Raw genomic sequence first — 20,292 nt, 5'->3', positions numbered from 1 at the left:
TATTACTTCCTAAAAAAATAAAAGGATATACAGGAAGGGAAAAATAAATAAAAATTTACCACAAGCTTCAGCTCCACATAGCATTTGTATAGTCATGATAATGTAAACATGTAATGTGAATATATGAATCTAGCCAAAACTATGCCATAACTATAAAGAGGGGAAGGCTAGTACAGGAAGGGGGTCATGGAGCAAAGGGATGAAAGACATGAAGACTCATCCTTCATAGCCTGAATCCGAGGAGTGGATAAAGACTCAATCTAAAGATAAAATAAGGCAGGAAATGAGGAAAAAGAAAAAAACTGTTGAAGTGCATCCAAAGTTGCAGATGGTTAACATTCATTCCACTCACTTGGGAAAACATCTGGTGTGATCGTCTAATGGGTCATCACCTTCCTGCCATTTCTCTAAACACCCTCCACAGGAAAAGCACTGGACGATGTCCTTTATACCTAAAAGTAAGGAAACTTGATCAGTGCCACTGGCATGGGCATCTGTCCATTAACATGCAGATAATAACCACCAGACCTGTAATAGTGAAAGCCTATTCAGTCTCCAGTTGGGTTTTGTGACAGTCAGAAGTTGGTTACCAGTGAGGCAATTTTCTATATAAGACTCTGTCCACCAATGGGGTAACTGGCAAGTAGTCATTGAATGCTCCTACACACCATGCACTTTGATGCACACCATCCCTCTGCCCCATTCTCCTTTGATCAACAAACAGATTGGCAACCAGAATCTGGAATTGAAGCTCCATGAGGGGGCTGGGCGCAGTGGCTCATGCCTGTAATCCCAGCACTTTGGGAGGCCAAGGCCAGCGGATCTCCTGAGGTCAGGAGTCTGAGACCAGCCTGGCCAACACGGTGAAACCCTGTCTCTACTAAAAATACAAAAATTAGCTGGGCATGGTGGCACATGCCTGTAATGCCAGCTACTCAGGAGGCTGAGGCACAAGAATCGCTTGAACCCAGGAGACGGAGGTTGCAGTGAACCAAGATAACGCCATTGCACTCCAGCCTGGGCAACAAGAGTGAAACTCTGTCTCAAAAAATAAAAATAAAAATAAGCTCTATGAGGGTAGAGGTTTTTGCTCACTAATGAATGACATGAACCTAGAAAAGTGCTTGACACTCATGTGGCACTCAATTAGTATTCGTTTAATGAATGAATCAGAAAGAATATATTTAGAGCTCACGGAAAAAAAAATACCAGCAAATCTAGCAGCCCTTATGTAAGTGAATGCATGAAGAATTAATTGCCTCTTACCACATTATTGCCATGTTTATTACACCAGAAATAGGATTAAGTCTCTTTGTGAAATTATATTTCTTTGGAAAGAAATTGGTATTTAGCTCTGCAAAAGGATCAAACTAGAAACAGAGCATTTCTCATCTTCCTTCCACTCTGGGAAAGCTGGGGCAGAGGAAAGCCTCCCAGAAATATGAGATCCTAGAGCTTGCAAGATCTGAAAACAGTCAGAGATGATTAGGATTTGTGTGGAGTGGTGGAGGATTGGAAAGGAAGAGGGGGAGCACACTGGTCAGAGGGGTCTTGCGGAAGGCTGACAAGAGGAAGACACAGTAGAGTAGGGAGAAATGGCAAACACTCTTTCCAAAGGCTTAAGATTGTGAGGCAGTCAGATTTTTTTTTTCCAATGGCACATGTCTGTTAGGTAGAGTGACAACTATATTCTGCTTCTCTGTGTTGCTCTATGGTATTTGTGACAACTACTTGATCTCTCAGTTAAAGATCTGCATTAACCTCCACTGTAACTTATGCATGTGTTCGGTTTGAGCAAGACCAGCAAGGTACCTAGGAACCTTTCCCTGATCATCTTGTATTTCAGGCAGAGATTTAGCTGACAGGAACCAGCCCATCATTTATAGATTGCAGAGGTGCTTCCTAATGACCAGCAGCTAAAGAGAAAATGCCACAATCTGGTGGAAGGCTCTACGTGTTTAGGAATCATGAAAATTAATTTCCTGATTTTCTCCTGCAGGCAGAATGTGGCAAAGATTGCTATCCATGTTCCTATTATCTCAAATCCTTCCATACTAATAGAAATCCCAATATTTAGCTGGGCACATTGTCACCCAGGAAAAAGATTAGGTTTCCCAGCTCCTCTTACAGCTAGGTATGGTCATCTGACTAATAATAATAATAATAATAATTATTATTATTATTATTATTATTATTATTATTTTTGAGACAGAGTTTCACTCTTGTTGCCCAGGCTGGAGTGCAATAGCATGATCTTGACTCCCCGCAACCTCCACGTCCCAGGTTCAAGCGATTCTCCTGCCTCAGCCTCCCAAGTAGCTGGGATTACAGGCACCCGCCACCATGCCTGGCTAATTCTTTGTATTTTTAGTAGAGACAGAGTTTCACCATATTGGCCAGGCTGGTCTCAAACTCCTGACCTCAGGTGATCCACCCACCTCGGCCTCCCAAAGTGCTGGGATTACAGGCGTGAGCCACCATGCCCGGCCCATCCAACTAAGTTCTGATTAAAGAAATATAAGCAGAAGTGTCCTGTGACAGTTTCTAGGAGCACTTTGTCAGGGGACAAGAGGTGAGGAGAGTAATGTGTAGAAAGAAAAGACATGATAATTATCACAAATAGAATACTTGTATTCATTGTTAGTCCAGACCTTAAGGTTTCAAATTTGAAGGTTTACCACCTAAGGGAGGAATAGAAAACTGGGAGAGGATTTATGATGCAGGAAAGAAAAGAGATGTATGCCAGGTGCAGTGGCTCACACCTGTAATCCCAGCATTTTGGGAGGCCAAGGCAGGAGGATTACTTGAGCCCAGGAGGTTGAGGCTGCAGTGAGCCATGATCTCGCCACTGCCCTCCAGCCTGGATGACCATGTCTCAAAAAAAATAGAAAGAAAAGAAAACGAATCTATAAGAAATGCTGAAGAGAGGCCTGGCGCGATGGCTCACACCTGTAATCCCAGCATTTGGGAGGCCAAGGCGGGCAGATCACGAGATCAGGAGATCAAGAGCATTCTGACTAGCATGGTGAAACCCTGTCTCTACTAAAAATACAAAAAAGTAGCTGGGCGTGGTGGCAGGCGCCTGTGGTTCCAGCTACTCCAGAGGCTGAGGAAGGAGAATCTCTTGAACCCGGGAGGTGGAGGTTGCAGTGAGCCAAGATCTGCATTCCAGCCTGGGCAACTCTGTCTCCAAGGGGGAAAAAAAAAGAAAAGAAAAAGAAACGCTGAAGCTAGTGGACATTGCTGAGTGTAGCTAAACGTAAGCCCAGGAGCATAAAGTCTATGTGGGAATTAAAGGTCAAGCAAGCAAGTGGGCACAACCTACTGACTCACCTGTGTAGAAAAGACCTGCTTTGGCCAGTGCTGCAACTCCCACAGCTGATTCCCGGGGCCAGTCCTTAAAAGAGTCCAGCCGTAGTTCTTCGTAAGCAAAGATGCTGTCATTGCAATAAGCTTGAATAAAAAGCACAAGGTGAGACCAGCAGGCTTTAGTCTTTTTTTTTTCTATATCTTTATTGCTGCTGCACAAATTAAAGAGACCAGTAGGCTTTGATATTGCAAGTATCAGCGTTCAAGTTGTCCCTTCACAGTTACAGATGGAATGATGTCTAGAGTTTGCTTCAAAATAAACGGGGCGGGGCGGGGGGGACGACAAAAAGAGATAGGGACAAAAAATCAAAAGAAGAAATAAACAAGCAAAGCCTTTGGAAAATGTTTGAGTTTTTACCTGATGCCATAGGTAATTCTCTCTGGACCCAGGAATTCACAAAATGTTCTCCCTGAGGGAAATTAAAATTCAAGTTGTTGATTATCTGACTTTTTTTTTTTTTTTTTTTTTGAGGCAGAGTCTCACTCTGTTGCCCAGGCTGAAGTGCAGTGGCAGGTTCTCGTCTCACTGCAACCTCCGCCTCCTGGGTTCAAGTGATTCTCCTGCCTCAGCCTCCCGAGTAGTACAGGCATGTGCCACCACACCCGGCTAATTTTTTTTTTTTTTGTATTTTTAGTAGAGACAGACACGATGTTGGAGGTCTTTTTTTTTTTTTTTTTTTTTTTTTTTGAGACAGAGTCTCGCTCTGTCGTCCAGGCTGGAGCACAGTGGCACGACCTTGGCTCACTACAAGCTCTGCCTCCCAGGTTCACGCCATTCTCCTGCCTCAGCCTCCCGAGTAGCTGGGACCACAGGCGCCTGCCACCATGCCGGGCTAATTTTTTTTTTTTTTGTATTTTTAGTAGAGATGGGGTTTCACCATGTTAGCCAGGATGGTCTCTATCTCCTGACCTCATCATCCGTCCGTCTCGGCCTCCCAAAGTGCTGGGATTACAGACGTGAGCCACTGCACCCGGCCCATGTTGGAGGTCTTGAGGCTGGTCTCGAACACCTGATCTCAAGTGATCTGCCCAGCTCGGCCTCCCAAAGGGCTGGGATTACAGGCATGAGCTACTGCGCCCAGCCTGATTGTTTGACTTATGAAGTATATACCTATCTATGAACAAGAACTGAAGGAACTTTACCCCAGAATGAAGAGTTTCACTGGATGGAACGGCAGAGTCGGAGGAGAATTATTCCTTTAATTTTTATTTCTGTTGATGTTGCAATTGTTTTTATGCAGTGCAAGCAAACATACACACACACACACACACACACACACACACACACACACACGCATGCAAGCTGTGAATGTTTATGCATACTCAGGAGGAAGCCTTCTCAGGGTCACTGTTTCCGGAAACTGACCTTGAAAACAGACCTGCATTTAAATATCACAGATGTACTTTGACGAATGAGGAAGTAAGAGACATAGAATGGTAACTAAATTCATCAGGGTATTATATATTGAGCAACTGATTCTTCTGGGAAAGCTGCACCCAGTTTCTTTTTGAGGAAACACCTCTCTTCCCCCACTGTCAGGCCATGTTCTCTATAGAGTTCTGGTCTCCTGAGTCATGTTAATCAATAAATTCTCATTTTTGTTTAAGCCAGTTTGGATTCGATTTCCCATCACTCTCCACTAGGAAATTTTTACTGATTCAGGATAGTTAGCCAGCTAGGAAGAGCCAGCTCTGCAGCCCACTGTGGGTGACAGCGCCTAGGTCAGGAGATCTTAGCAAGCCTGCAGATAGGGGCAGCAGAGGGAAGCTGGGGCAAGTGGCTTCATTCATAAAGGGGAAGACTATCAGGAAGGCAAGCAGAGCCCGTCAGAAGCCAGCCCTGGAAAAAGAAAAAGGCTCTAGGTCAGCAAGTGAATGTGATATTTTTCACTTTGAAGATGGGAGCCAGGGGAATGAAAGGAGAAAGGAAGAAAGAAATCAAACCCATGACATAAAAAGAATGCCTATGCCCTTCTGAGTCAGACACTTACAGGTAATCCAAAAACTTGAGAAAAAAATTGCTGTTATACATTACCGTTATGTCAACAAATCCCTTGTAGCTTTGAATATACTGGGTAATTTCCTCTGAGGATTTCTTACTCCGAAGAAATTCACATCTGTAATTAATAAATATAATTAAAATTTACCCCAGTACTGTGATAGAGCTGTCCTATATCACAATGAACATTTATAAAGACGTATTGAATTGTTGAATTTTATTATACTTCAATAAAATTGCCAAAAAATTTACCACAAAACTTAGGAGAATTACCATTATTCTCATATAATTATTTGTTATTTCTATTAGTGACAACATGTGTAGTTATTTAAAATTAAATCTTCAGGTTAACTTTTTTCTTGAAATAAAACATGCAATACAATCAAAGAGACTGATTTACAGTAAATATAGGATGGAGCTTTTGTTTTTTGGAATTAAGCAGTGGTGACTAAATCTAGTCGCTAGGGTTATATGAAAGCTACTGGCAGTAAAGAGAACTATATTTAAAATAATAGGCCAGACGCAGTGGCTCACATCCAGGAGTTCAAGACTAGCCTGGGCAACATGGCAAAACCCCATCTCCACAAAAAATACAAAAATTAGCCGGGCATGGTGCCACACCTCTGTAGTCCCAGCTACTCAGGAGGCTGAAGGGGGAGGATCACCTGAGCCCGGGGAGGTAGAGGCTGCACTGAGCCATGATCAGGCTGCTACACTCCAGCCTGGGCAACAGACTGAGACCCAGTCTCAAAAGTAAATACAAAAAATCTTTTTAAGATAACAATATATTTATCTACTGAACAAAAAATTACCATGCATTAAAAAGTAATGGCTATTAGGCCAGGCGTGATGGCTCACGCCTGGAATCCCAGCACTTTGGGAGGCCGAGACAGGTGGATCACGAGGTCAGGAGTTCGAGACCAGCCTGGCCAAGATGGTGAAACCCTGTCTCTACTAAAAGTACAAAAATTAGCTGGGTGTGGTGGCGGGCGCCTGTAATCCCAGCTACTTGGGAGGCTGAGGCAGGAGAATCGCTTGAACCTGGGAGGTGGAGGTTGCAGTGAGCTGAAATCATGCCACTGCACTCTAGCCTGGGCAACAGAGCAAGACTCAATCTCAAAAAAAACCAAAAACAAAAAAAGTAACGGATGTTAATGGATAATTTTTGATTTTTTTAAAAAAGAGCACACTGAATACCATTTAAAAACATATTCCTTTCCCATAAAAGAGAAGCAGTTTTAAAATTAACTTTTAAAATTTCCTCCAATTCAGCTGGGCATGGGGGATCATGCCTGTAATCCCAGCACTTTTGGAGGCTGAGGCGGGTGGATCACTTGAGGCCTGGAGTTTGAGACCAGCCTGGTCAACATGGTGAAACCCCATCTCTACTGAAAATACAAAAATTAGCCAGGCATGGTGGCGGGTGCCTGTAATCCCAGCTGCTTGGGAGGCTGAGGCGGGAGGATCACTTGAACCTGGGAAGCAGAGTTTGCAGTGAGTCATGATTGTACCACTACACTCCAGCCTGGGCAACAGAGAGAGACTCTGTCTCAAAAAAAATAAAAATAAAAATAAAAATCCCTCCAATTCAAATTTAAGTTTTCTTTCTATGGTGCTGTAGCAAAGAATGGGCTGGGAACCCAAAGGCTGGAGCATTAGTACCCGCTCTTCCACCAGTGGGGATGTGACCAACCTTGCCATGTTCTCTTATAATCACAGGAGAACATGGATGCCATCAGATGATCTGCATATTTCCCCAGGGCCATGATTCTATGTGATAGGCAGCCAGGGTCCCCAGTTTTCAGGTGTATAAATGTTTCCAAGGATTGCCGTAAGTCTGCACATAACCTACATGGCACACAATGCACGGGGTGGTTCCCTGTCCTCATGATTTATATGGATTGAGGAGGAACTCAGTACCTTAAAAAGTTACCATAAAATCATCTTACATTTATGGAGTGCCACATTTTAAAAAGTGTAAGGGTATACTCATTTTGTTGACAGTTGATAAAAAGAAGCAACAAATTGAAGTCCAGAAAGCTAAAGACAGAGTAACCCAACAAGAAACTTGGGGATTCTTGCTCTAATTCCAGCTCTTAGATTTTATTGACTGACCATGTGCTTATGACGACAAACAAATGAAAGGCAAAACAGTTGGTCATCTGTCATCCTCACATTATACATGGTAATTTTTACAAAGCATTTGATCCATATACTTTGTTTCTCATCCTTACAACCACCAGACAAGCTGTACATTATTATCTGCTGTGGAAGTCGCAGATACCAAGATGAAATCACTTTTATCAGACCCACACAAAATAGGGCTGGGAAGGCACGAAGGAGTGGGGTTCAGGCTTTCATGTCCAAGACAGGAACGGTTCCAAAGACTTTCTAAGAATCCCATAAGAAATCCCTTCACGCCTGTCACGCATCTCCTGCTTTGCATTGCTTGCATGTACGCACATATTTCTATGGCAAGGTTTATCACTGCACATTCTTTTGGACTGCAGCAATTCAGATAAGATAACATGAGATGAGATGCTGTCAAAAGAACACCTGCCCAGGAACAGCATCTCCACCAATGAACACACAAGAACTCTGGCTTTGAGCCTTCAGAACCAAGGAATTCTCTTCTGCCCTCTCTCCTCTCCCCTCTCCCCCGTCCCCTGTCTTCTCTCTCCTCTCCCCTCTCCCCTCTCTCCTCTCTCTCTAAAGAAACTGGAGCCTCATCACATTGCCCAGGCTGGTCTCAAACTCCTGGCCTCCAAAGACCCTCCCGCCTCAGCCTCCCACATAGCTGTGATTACACGTATGAGCTACCATGCCCAGCTATGAACTCTGTTTCTAAGCAGCTTATGTGAACTTCTCCCTTTTGCCAAGAAAAATTCCCTTTACTCTTCCCTCACTGCACGTGCCTGTGGTTTACAGTAGTGCATTCCAAATCATAACCCTCTTTTCTTATTCCTGAATAAATTTGACATATTTGGGGATATCTGTCTCTAATTTTTTTGTTGTTGTTGACACTGCATTTTACATATGAGATTCAGACAAGGTCAGTCACCTGCCTAGGGTCTGGTAGTCAGGTAGCAGCAGATTCAAGCCTGGCTCTATCTCCTAAGCCTCTGCACTACCCCCTGCCCTTGTTTGCTGGCCTGAACTCCTTCCTCTCTAGGAGTGGTTGCTGGACTGCTGTCTCCCCTCCCTGTGCTTATTACCTTACCCTCTGACTATGTTAGAGAAGGCATATGAAGGCCCCTGCAGACAGGATGTGCGGCTCTAGTAGGTGCTAGTCACATGATAATGTGATCATGTGTGAGTGGTGCCACTGGTACTTGTCCAGTGTATAACCCAGCGACACTAAACACAGTGACCCTGAGGCTAAGTGAAGCCTGAGCTGAGGCTAGAGCTGAGACAGGTGCCCACGAGCAGCGGCTTGTGCTCCAGCCGGGGCTGCTGTTCCCTGTTACATATGCATATATGGTGCACTGTCAGCATGGACAAGGACTGCCTGGGTGGCTGTTTTGATTCGTCAGGGAGCCAGAGTGACTGTCAAATGATTTCTCAATTCTAGCTTCATTCGTCCCTATAACCATCTCATCTACTTGTCTAACTTTCTCTCTCTCCTCTTCCTGCCTTTCTCCTCTCCTCCCTTGTTTACTTCCTCCCTCCTAATCTCCTCACTTTCTTTTCAACTATGAAAGTAATATATACTTGTTTCCAAAAATTTAAACAAGACAGCAATGAACAAAATAAATGTGAAAATCCATCACTACTTCACCCCCTGACAAATCCAGATCCAGAAGTATCTACAGTTTGGTTTACATATTTTCATAAGGTTTTCTATATATTTTCAAGCAACTCCATATATAGTTTGAGTGGTTTTAAACATTTTCAAAGTCTCACACTGCACTTATTGTGCATATTGCTTTCCCACACAACGTATCAAAACATACCAAAGATATCCATTCACTTTTTTTTTCTTTTGAGATGGAGTCTCACTCTGTTGCCCAGGCTGCTGTGCAGTGGAGTGATCTTGGCTCACTGCAACCTCCGCCTCCCAGGTTCAAGCAATTTCTTGCCTCAGCCTCCCGAGTAGCTGGAACCATAGGCACGCACCACCACGCTCGGCTCATTTTTGTATTTTTAGTAGAGATGGGGTTTCACCATGTTGGCCAGGGAAGAGGGGAGATAGGAGAGGAGAGAGGAGAGAGGGAAGAGGGGAGAGGAGAGTTCATCACTTGAATGAACTCCTGGCCTCAAGTGATTTGCCCGCCTTGGCCTCCCAAAGTGCTGGGATCACAGGTGTGAGCCACTGTGCCCAGCCTTTTTTTTTTTTTTTTTTTGAGATGGAGTCTCGCTGTGTTGACCAGGCTGGAGTGCAGTGGTGCGATCTCAGCTCACTGCAACCTCTGCCTCCCGGGCTCAAGCAATTCTCCTGCCTCAGCCTCCCAAGTAGCTGGGATTACAGGCGCCTGCCACCACGCCTGGCCAATTTTTGTATTTTTAATAGAGACAGGGTTTTACCATGTTAGCCAGGCTGGTCTTGAACTACTGACATCAAATGATCCGCCTACCTTAGCCTCCCAAAGTGCTGGGATTACAGGCATGAGCCACCATGCCGGGCCTCCATTCACTTTTGTGGGCATGGCTGTCCATGTGCAAGATGACTTATAAATGTAAATAACTGTGTCCAGTTTTGTAGTTAATTTAGTATCCAACCAACAACTTTGCATGTAGTAGGTGTGTGACAAATATTTGTTAAAGAAAATAGAATCTGAGGCTGGGCACGGTGGCTCATGCCTATAATCCCAGCACTTTGGGAGGCCGAGGCAGGTGGACTGCCTGAAGTCAGGAGTTCGAGACCAGCCTCGCAAATATGGAGAAACCCCGTCTCTACTAAAAATACAAAAACTAGTCAGGTGTGGCAGTGCGCACCTATAATCCCAGACCTGGGTGGGGTGAGGCAGGAGAATCGCTTGAACCCAGGAGGCAGAGGTTGCAGTGAGCCAAGATTGCACCACTGCACTCAAGCCTGGGCAACAGAGTGAGACTGTCACAAAAAAAAAAAGAAAGAAAGAAAATAGAATCTGAGCCTGACCAAACTGCTAGATCCAAGTGTCAGGTTCCTGGAAATGCAGAAGGTAGAGGAACATGTTAGACTATGCCAGAGGAACACATTCTGCCAAATCTAGAGTAGAGGGAATTTTACAGGACAGATTACATGGCTTCTTTAACAAATAAGTGACAAGAAAAAAGAGATGGATAAAGAGGAAATCTACGAATTAAAAATCTTAAGGGGCTGAGCACAGTGGCTCATGCCTGTAATCCCAGCACTTTGGGAGGCTGAGGTGGGAGGATCACTTGAGTCCAGGAGTTTGTAGAACCAGGAGTTCCAGACCAGCCTGGGCAACAAAGTGAAACCTTGTCGCTATAAAAGATATGAAAATTAGCTGGGCATGGTGGTAGGCACCTGTGGTCCCAGCTACTCAGGACGCTGAGGTGGGAGGATTGCTTGAGTCTGAGAGGTGGAGGTTGCAGTGAGCTGAGATTGCACCACTAAACTCCAGTCTGGGCTCCAGTCTGGGCAACAGAGCAAAACTCACTCTCAAAAAAAAAAAAAAAAAAAAAGAAAGAAAACAACAAATCTTGGTCAGGCACAGGTGGCTCATGCTTGTAATCCTAGCACTTTGGGAATCCAAGGTGGATCACTTGAGGCCAGGAATTTCAGACCAGCCTGGGCAACATGATGAAACCGCATCTCTACTAAAATTACAAAAATTAGCCAGATGTGGTGGCACATGCCTGTAGTCCCAGCTACTCGGGGAGCAGAGGCAGAAGGATCACTTGAGCCCAAGAATTCAAGGTTACAGTGAGCCACAATTATGCCACTCACTGTACATTTCATGAAATCTCTTTCCTCAACAGCATCCCCATTCAGATGTCACATCCATTCCGATAATATATCAGGGAGAGATGATAACAATTATGCAATTATATTGCATAATTGAATTATATTGAAATATAATCCATCGGGAGCAGTGGCTCATGCCTGTAATCTCAGCACTTTAGGAGGCCGAGGTGGGTGGATCACCTGAGGTCAGGAGTTTGAGACCAGCCTGGCCAACATGGCAAAACCCCATCTCTACTAAAAATACAAAAAAAAAAAAAAAAAAAAATTAGTCAGGTGTGGTGGCACGTGCTTGTAGTCCCAGCTAGTTGGGGCTGGCTGTGGTGGCTTACACCTATAATCCCAGCACTTTGGGGGGCTGAGGCCAGGAGTTCAAGACTAGCCTTGCCAACATGGTGAAACCCCATCTCTACTAATAATACAAAAAAAATAGCTGGGCATGGTGGCGCATGCCTATAATCTCAGCTACTCGGGAGGCTGAGGCAGGAGAATTGCTTGAACCCACGAGGCAGAGGTTGCAGTGAGCCGAGATCGCACCACTGCACTCCAGCCTAGGCGACAAGAGTGAAACTCCATCTCAAAAAAAGAGAAAGAAATATAATTCACACATCATAAAATTCACCCATTTAAAATGAACAACTGAGGGTGCGGTGACTCATACCTATAACCCCAATGCTCTTGAGGCCAAGGCGGGAGGATTGCTTGAGACCAGGAGTTGAGATCAGCCTGGGCAACATAGCTAGACCCTGTCTCTAAAAAACTTTTTTTTAAAGAAAACGAAAACTTAGCAGGGCATGGTGGCATGTGCCTGTAGTCCTAACTACGTGGGAGGCTGAGGTGGAAGGATCTCTTGAGCCCAGGAATATGAAGCTGCGGGGAGCTATGATTGCAGTACTGTACTCCAGCCTGGACAACAGAGTGAGGCTCTGTCTCTAAAAAAAGTAAATAAAATGTACAGTTCAATAAATATCAGCATATTCATAAACATGCACAACCACCACCACAATCAATTTTAGAACATTTTCATCCCCCCAGAAAGAAACGCTGTGCCCATTAGCAGTTGCTTTCCATGTCCCCCATTACCCTCCTAGCCCTAGGCAACTACTATGTTACTTTCTGTCTCTATAGATTTGCCTACTGGGGACATTTCATATAAATTGAATCATACAGTACGTGGTCCTTTGTGTCTGGTTGCTTTCACTTTGCAAAATGTTCATGTTGGTAGAGGTGCTTAAAAAATAAAATAAAAAGAACAACAAAAAAAGGAAGCGAAATTCATCCATGTTGTATTGTTTTAGTACTTCATATTCCTTTTCATTGTCAAATAATATTTCATTATGTGGATATACCACACTTTATTATCACATATACCATATTTTATTCCTCAACCCAGTTGATGGATGTGTGGATTGTTTACGCTTTTTGGCTATTATAAATAATACCGCTGTGCACATTAGTGTGCAAGTTTTTATATGGACATTTTTCACTTTTTTTTTTTCTTGAGACAGGGTCTTGCTCTGTCACCTAGGCTGGAGTGCAGTGGCTTGATCACCATCCATTGCAGCCTCAACCTCAAGGGCTGAAGCGATCCTCCCACCTCAGCTTCCCAAGCAGCTCGTACTACAGGAGCACACCACCATTTTTTATAGAGACAAGCGTGTTGGGGGTGTTGGTGGGGGGGGTCTCACTATGTTGCCAAGTTGGTCTCAAACCCCTGGGCTCAAGTGATCCTCCCACCTCAGCCTCCTAAAGTGCTGGGATTACAGGCCTGAGCCACCACACCTGGCCCATTTTTCACTCTTAAACTTACAGTTGTATTGTCATACTAAACTAAGTTAATTGCTGTTTAATTTTTTATTAGCAGGTATAACAATACATTATGCACCATGGTCCAACAATGACAATAAAGTTTTTCACCACTCCGGGCATTTTATCCACACCAATGTAAATGTCCTTGGGTCCCATAGCACCAAGAGACTCTGCCACCCTTTTCTTTACATCACACTGCTTTAAAGTGACTGTAGATTCTGCTTTTGCATCATCCTAAAGGTTTATTTGTTTAATTCATCAAGACTAGGATACATTAGAATCTTGACTGGGCACAGTGGCTCACACCTGTAATCCCAGCACTTTGGGAGGCTAAGGTGGGAGGATTGCTTGAGCCCAGGAATTTGAAACCAGTCTGGGCAACAAAGTGAGATGGAGTCTTGCTCTGTTCACCCAGGCTGGAGTGCAGTGGCACAATTTTGACTCACCGCAACCTCTGCTTCCCAGGTTCAAGCAATTCTCCTGGCTTAGCCTCCTGAGTAGCTGGGATTACAGGCATGTGCCACCATGCCCGGCTAATTTTTTTATTTTTAGTAGAGACAGGGTTTCACCATGTTGGCCAGGCTGGTCTCGAACTCCTGACCTCAGGTGATCCACCCGCCTCGGCCTCCCAATGTGCTAGGATTACAGGTGTGAGCCACCATGCCCAGCCCTTTCCTTTTTTTTTTTTTTTTTTTAATAGGAGACAAGGGCTCACTCTGTTGCCAAGGCTGTAGTACAAGTGCAGTGGCATGATTCTAGCTCACTGTAGCCTCAGATTCCTGGGCTTAAGCAATCCTCTTGCCTCAGCCTCTCAAAGTGCTGGGATTACAGGTGTAAGCCAGGACACCCGGCCTCCTTTCTTTTGAATGATATTAATCTGTTCATCATTCAGCACAATTTGGAGCAAAGGAACTAGTAAGTCTTCAACAGGCTTTCACTTCATCCTGCTCCCCCAGTAGTAGGGTCATACAAAAAGTCTACGAAGGTAGAGGCCCTCTTATCACAGCAACAATCATCACTTAAGTCAAAGACATAAAATTAAGGGATACCTTAGTTTCATCACAGAACCAGTCCAAATGTGTTTGTTTGCATTCTCAACATTTCAGTAACCTCTAGGGAGTATTTCTTCTAACAATTATGGGTGGAATTGGGCAGTTCCCCTTTACAAGATATGTTTTATGTACTGCCACCTTTGTGCAGCTCAACCGATTTGGAATTTGCCCAGCTAACCACATTCCGGCAAAAGCTGCAGCTAATTGAAGATCTTCAACGAATTCAGCTAATTAAGACCAAACACACCCTTTCATTTGAAGGTACATTTGACAGTACCTAATACAAGGAAAAGAGCTCCTTTGTCATTCATGTATATCCAACCCAGCAGTGGTTCTGCAGGAAGCTCTGTCAGTCCACAGGCAACTTCACTCTTGTGTAGTTCCCTGTTTCAGTTGTCTCTTGATGCCCTCCCACTGTAGTTTCGTTGGTGATTATCTACCCGATGAGGGTCACATTCCCATCAGAAGAAATATCTGCCCAACTCCTCTTTGGCATCATGTTCCTTCCCTTTACAGAAGGAAATTGGTGGACTTGGCAACACAGGCTCTTTTTTAGTTACTTTCATTTTTGCCAAAGCAGCCTAACCAGCCAGGGAACTGTATTCTTGGCTGACTTCCTCTGTGTCTGGATTTCTTTTTAAATCTATTTAGCGATTTCCTCTTGCTCTGCATCAACCACCTTCAAGTTCCATTGTCATCCCTTTCTTCCCATTGAGAGTTGTAGCACTTCAGCAAATTCAAACAGGGATTCCCCAGCAACTAGCCTGGCACCAGTGGCTCTAAATCTTTCCCCACTTTTCATCTTTCTCCCAAACAAAGCCTTAGCTATCATTTAAATTATAAAGTAAAAAACTGGGGGGCCAGGCGCAGTGGCTCACACCTGTAATCCCAGAACTTCGGGAGGCTGGGACGGGCGGATCACTTGAGTTCAGGAGTTCAAGACCAGCCTGGCCAACATGGCGAAACCCCATCTCTACTAAAAATACAAACAAATTAGCCGGGCGTGGTGGTGCATGCCTGTAATCCCAGCTACTCGGGTGGCTGAGGCACAAGAACTGTTTGAACCCAGGAGGCAGAGGTTTCAGGCTTCAGTGCCACTGCACTACAGCCTGGGCAACAGTGTGAGACCCTGTCTCGAAAAAAAAAAAGAAAAAAAAAAAACCTGGGGCCAGGCGCAGTTGCTCACACCTGTAATCCCACCACTTTGGGAGGCCAAGGCAGGCAAATCACTTGAGCCCAGGAGTTCGAGACCAGCCTGGGCAACATGGTAAGACTCCAGCTCTACAAAATAATTTTTTTAAAAGTTAGGCAGCCGTGATGGTGTGCGCCTATAGACCCAGCTACTCGGGAGGCTGAGGTGGGAGGATCTCTTGAGCCCAGGAGGTTGAGGCTATAGTGAGCTGTGATCAAGATACTGCACTCAACTTGGGTGACAGACTGAGAGAGACCCTGTCTCAAAAACAAAAAAAAAGTAATGATCCTATTCACAGTACCCTCTTCATCAATTACACAGGTTTGGATCATTGAAAAGACTTAGAAGACTCCGCATAGTATCCTCACATAAGGCTTTAATAAAGGTAAAGGATAGATACAAAAAAAAAAAAAACCCAACAAACCAAAAGGCAAGTGAAACACCACACCCAGTTCCTAGGGTCCTTTTGCAGCCACAGAGGATGTGGAAGATGTGCTTCATCTTTAAGCAATGAACCAGCTAGATGATACATGCAAGACACCTTGGTCTCAAGAGAACTGTAACCTCATCTGAGGCTCTTTTATACTCCTCTGATCAGGTAGCCAACACTAGCTTGCATACCAGGGCTCAAAACCAGAAACAAGCTGGTATAGTCAAGCTGGGGCAGTGACATGCACCTGTAATCCCAGCTACTTGGGAGGCTGAAGTGGGAGGATCACTTGAGCCCAGAAGTTCAAAGCCAATGAGATTTCATCTCCAAAAAGAAAGAAAGAAGCAAGAAACAGGCTGCTCCCTGGTCTGTCTCCCACCCCAGCACAGGACTCTATTAATCACTGGCTAGTACATTTCATTTAGGTTTGGCCAAGGAACAGCACCAAGGCTTCAGGCCTCCCCAGAGATAAATGAGTACAGAGTTGCAGCAGACCAGCAGACATTGATCCTGTCTGACACAACGAAGTTTGGTGGTCAATCATGCCAGTCTAGAGGCTGTTTCTGGGGGAGGAGAAGTAATTTCCAAGGCCCTTTCCAGGTCTAATATTCTTTGACTACAGTGCTAAGAGTGCCATTGAGGCAACTGTGCCATGGAGCTAGGATTTAAACCCAAGTCTGTGTGACTCCAGTGTCTGTCCTCTTTCCTCCATACCATCCTGCCTCCAAAGAGAGAAACAATAGCAAGACAAAGAAGGGACCATAGGTTTAGGTGTGGAAGAAAAGCACCTTTGCCAGGGATAGTAATTTACTTACCTGAGGTTTATCCACAGTTCTAGTCTAATAGAGGAGAATGCTGGCCAGTGGAAGGAAAGTATGTGGCTGAAGAACAAATGCTCTGTCCGTCCTTTAGTAGGAAGCAGTGAGAAAATATTTAAGGAACTAAAATGCAAAAAAAAAATCGCGCAGTCAGAGACTTTACCAGTAAATGCTCTAAGGTCTTGAGTCAACAGGATTTAATCAGGACCCAAAAGGAGTAATGAAACCTACAGAGTCTCACACCAGAAGTATTTTATTCTAGTTTTTTTGTTTCTGTTGTTTTTGAGACAGTGTCTCACTCTGTCGCCCAGGCTGGAGTACAGTGGCACGATCCTAGCTCACTGCAGCCTCAAGCTTCCAGGCTGAAGCGATCCTCCCATCTCGACCTCCCAAAGTGCTAGGATTATAGGCATGAACCACCACATCCGGCCTTTATTCTAGTTTGTTAAGATTGGTTAATAGTTAAGGTGCTAGTGTCTTATTTCTGTTATAGTAACAGTTTCTATCTTTCTGGTAGCTTTTAGGATCTTTTCTCCTAAGTGTAGACCTCTCTACATTCATTGGGCTGGGTATTCAATGGGCATTTTCAATCTGAGCTCTTGGGTCTCCCATCAAGCCTGGGAAATTACCTTCTATTATTTATTTGATAACTTCCTACTGTCTGTTACTCTCTTTTTACTCTTTTGGTATTCCCACTATTCAGGTGAGTAATTAATTGATCACTTATTTTTTTTTCATATATTCTTTTCCTACTTTCTAAGGGTCTCGCTCTGTCATCCAGGCTGGAGTGCAATGGCACAATCACAGCTCACTGCAGCCACCACCTCCTGGACTCAAGTGATCCTCCCACCTAGCCTCCCAAGTTTTGGGACTACAGACGTGTGCTACCATGCACAGCTGATTTTATATTTTATTTTGTGTAGAGATGGGGGTCTCACCTTGTTGCCCAGGCTGGTCTCAAACTCCCGGGCTCAAGTGATCTGCCGGCCTCAGCCTCCCAAAATGCTGGGATGACAGGTGTGAGCCACCGCACCCAGCTGTCCTCTCCTTTATATTCCGGTTCTCCAATCTAGTTTAAAATTTCAGCAATTATAATTTCCCACAGCTCTTTCTTTTCTCTGTGCCTTATTTTCATAGTGTCAATTTTTTTAACCAGTGCCATCTTCCTGAATCTGCTGTACGATACTAATGTTTAAGTTCCTGTTTCCTGAATTATGTTTCCTCAAAGGTTTTTACCACTTACCTTGGTGTTTACTTTTCATATTATCAACTTTCCTCAAATGTGTAGTGATCCTGGGTTTTCAACTCATGTTTAAAAATTAAGTCATTTAAAAACACATTGGTCAAACTAATCATTAAAAAATCAGGAGCCACAGGAGTGGGACTTGAACCTGAGCCTTTCCCTCTATGGAGAACAAGAATTACCCTAATGTCAGAATGTCAGAGAAAGATTTCAGAAAATGATTTCAAGTTACTTGGGGTTTTTTTTGTTTTGTTTTGTTTTTGGAGATGGGGTCTCACTTTGTCACCCAGACTGGAGTGCAGTGGCACAATCTCGGTTCACTGCAGCCTCTACCTCCCAGGCTCAAGTGATCCTCTCATCTCAGCCCCACAATAGCTGGGACTACAGGCATGCACCACCACACCTGGCTAATTTTTGTATTTCTAGTAGAGACAGGGTTTCGCCATGTTGCCCAAGCTGGTCTTGAACTCTTGACCTCAAGCCATTTGCCCACCTCAGTCCCCCAAAATGCTGGGATTACAGTCATGAGCCACTGGGCCTGGCCCGTTACTTGTAAAGACAAAGCTAGCAGCCGAAAACTTACTTGGAACGTTCCTTGGACATAAAATCACCATTTCTTAAAAGGATTCTTAGTTTTGGGGTGCCAGTGCCCACACTGGTTCTCTAGGTCAGCTAAGAGAAAGCAATGTGTTCAATTTTGGGGGGAGCAGGGAAGACTCCTGTAATTTTTTGCCCCAGGGTAAACACTTGTGTGTCAAATATTCTGATCATGGGGTAGAGAGAGCTGACTGTCCCGTGCACGGGCTTCCAATTAGTCCCTCAATTTTCAGCCCTTCATGTCACTCCAGCCCTCCTTCCTATCTGGCATCCTGTGTCCGCAGTTACTCCAAGCTTCTCCACAGGGCAGATAGTCTCTCATAGGAGACTCCATATTCAGGAAGCGGTTTCCTTGAGCTGCTTCCTTCCTGACTACTAGTCCATATAGTTTCTTCTTTCCAAGAATGTGTTAAAATATTCTATGTGCTACTGGTCCCATTTCTGTTCTATTTTATTTTTTTTTACCTTTAAACTCTGTTGGACTTGACATTCTTGTTTTCTTAATTTTCCTGGGTTTATACTTTTAAGAATCAGTAATATTGTGTATTTATTACCAAAAACATGAACTAAAATTTACATAGAGCCTATCAAGGAAAAACCATTTCTCTACTCACATTTCTGACATCAAATATATGGGTTTTCCACCAACCAATTCTCCAATTCTCCACAGACAGCAGCTGAGTGTCTTACAATTTTACTCAATTCTGATGCTAATTAACCAGAGTTAGTGCAGACCCCACGGGTTAGGGGCTCAGCCCCCAAGACTGCCCCCTACTTCAGATGCCAGCCACAACTATTAGGACCTCAGGGTACCCACACTTCTGTCTGAGTTCACTACAAATCATGGGTATCTGCAACCCCCTCAGGTTCGATAATTTCTTTCTTGGGGGTTGGGGGAGTTTAGGAGCAGAGGTTTAATAGGCAAAAGAAAGAAAAACGAGAACAGATCTCTCCCTTGTGAGGGGCTTCCGAAAGGAAAATCCGGCCTGCGGTGGACTGCACCAGATTTTATAGGTAGGCCTGAGGAGGCGGCGTCTGATTTGCGCAGAGCCCACAGGTTGGTTTGAACAGGTGTGACGTTTACATAGCACGCGGGGAAGGTTGGGCGCCCCACCCTAATCTTACTGTGACAAAGGGCAGAGTGACCTTGACATGCCATGTGCTTTCCAGAACAAGGGCAGAGAGTGACGCTCACTGTGGTGGGAGAGGAGACCCTCTGTTCCTAGAAAATCACAACAGCATGCCCCCGTGCTATATCCCTGGTTACTACAGCAGTCTTTGTTCTTGCCTAACAAGATTACTTCCCTGAACTGTAAAACTCCCTCAGTACTGCATACAGAGAGAGGTTAGGAGACATGGTGGTCGTGGATAGGAAATGAGGGAATTATGATAGGAAAGTTGGAGGTCCTGTTGCCGACACCCCTTAGGGTGGTCGGAGGCTGGGGTCAGTCCAGAAGCCTTCGGATGGCACCAGGAGGTAGCCCCAGCCAGAAATCCTCAGTTGCTCCAGGACCTCTTCCAGCCCCACACGACAGCTTGGTCCTCCGTGAAAGGAAACTGGTTCAAACATGGCCAATATGCCCAGCAGCCCGTGGGTATTGGGGGGTTCTCCATGTTCTCCCCAGCAAGCCTGTCCCCCAAAACTTGTAAGGCTGGCAGCCACGCTCATAATTTTTAAATGGCTAATTGGTGAAGGCAGAGTTTTCTCATTCACAGAAGCAGAAGGGGGCCCAGTATTTGGTTTGGTTTGATTCTAAAATGGAGGCCAAGAGCCTCGAAATCAAAGGACAGAGTTGAGGTCCGCCCCTTTACTCACCTTTGCAATGAATGCACCTTGGAATCCCAGACGAAGTCCCCAATATGAAGTGGCATTGT

General features: G+C 44.6%; 1 pseudogene; it reads right to left on the bottom strand.

Annotated features, from left to right (window-relative positions):
• NAIPP1 (NAIP pseudogene 1) lies at positions 350 to 19,461 on the bottom strand (annotated as a pseudogene).

Source organism: Homo sapiens, chromosome 5 (assembly GCF_000001405.40).
Source record: "Homo sapiens chromosome 5, GRCh38.p14 Primary Assembly".
In the NCBI taxonomy this organism is placed as follows: domain Eukaryota; kingdom Metazoa; phylum Chordata; class Mammalia; order Primates; family Hominidae; genus Homo; species Homo sapiens.
This window is presented reverse-complemented; position numbering and strand designations above follow the sequence as displayed.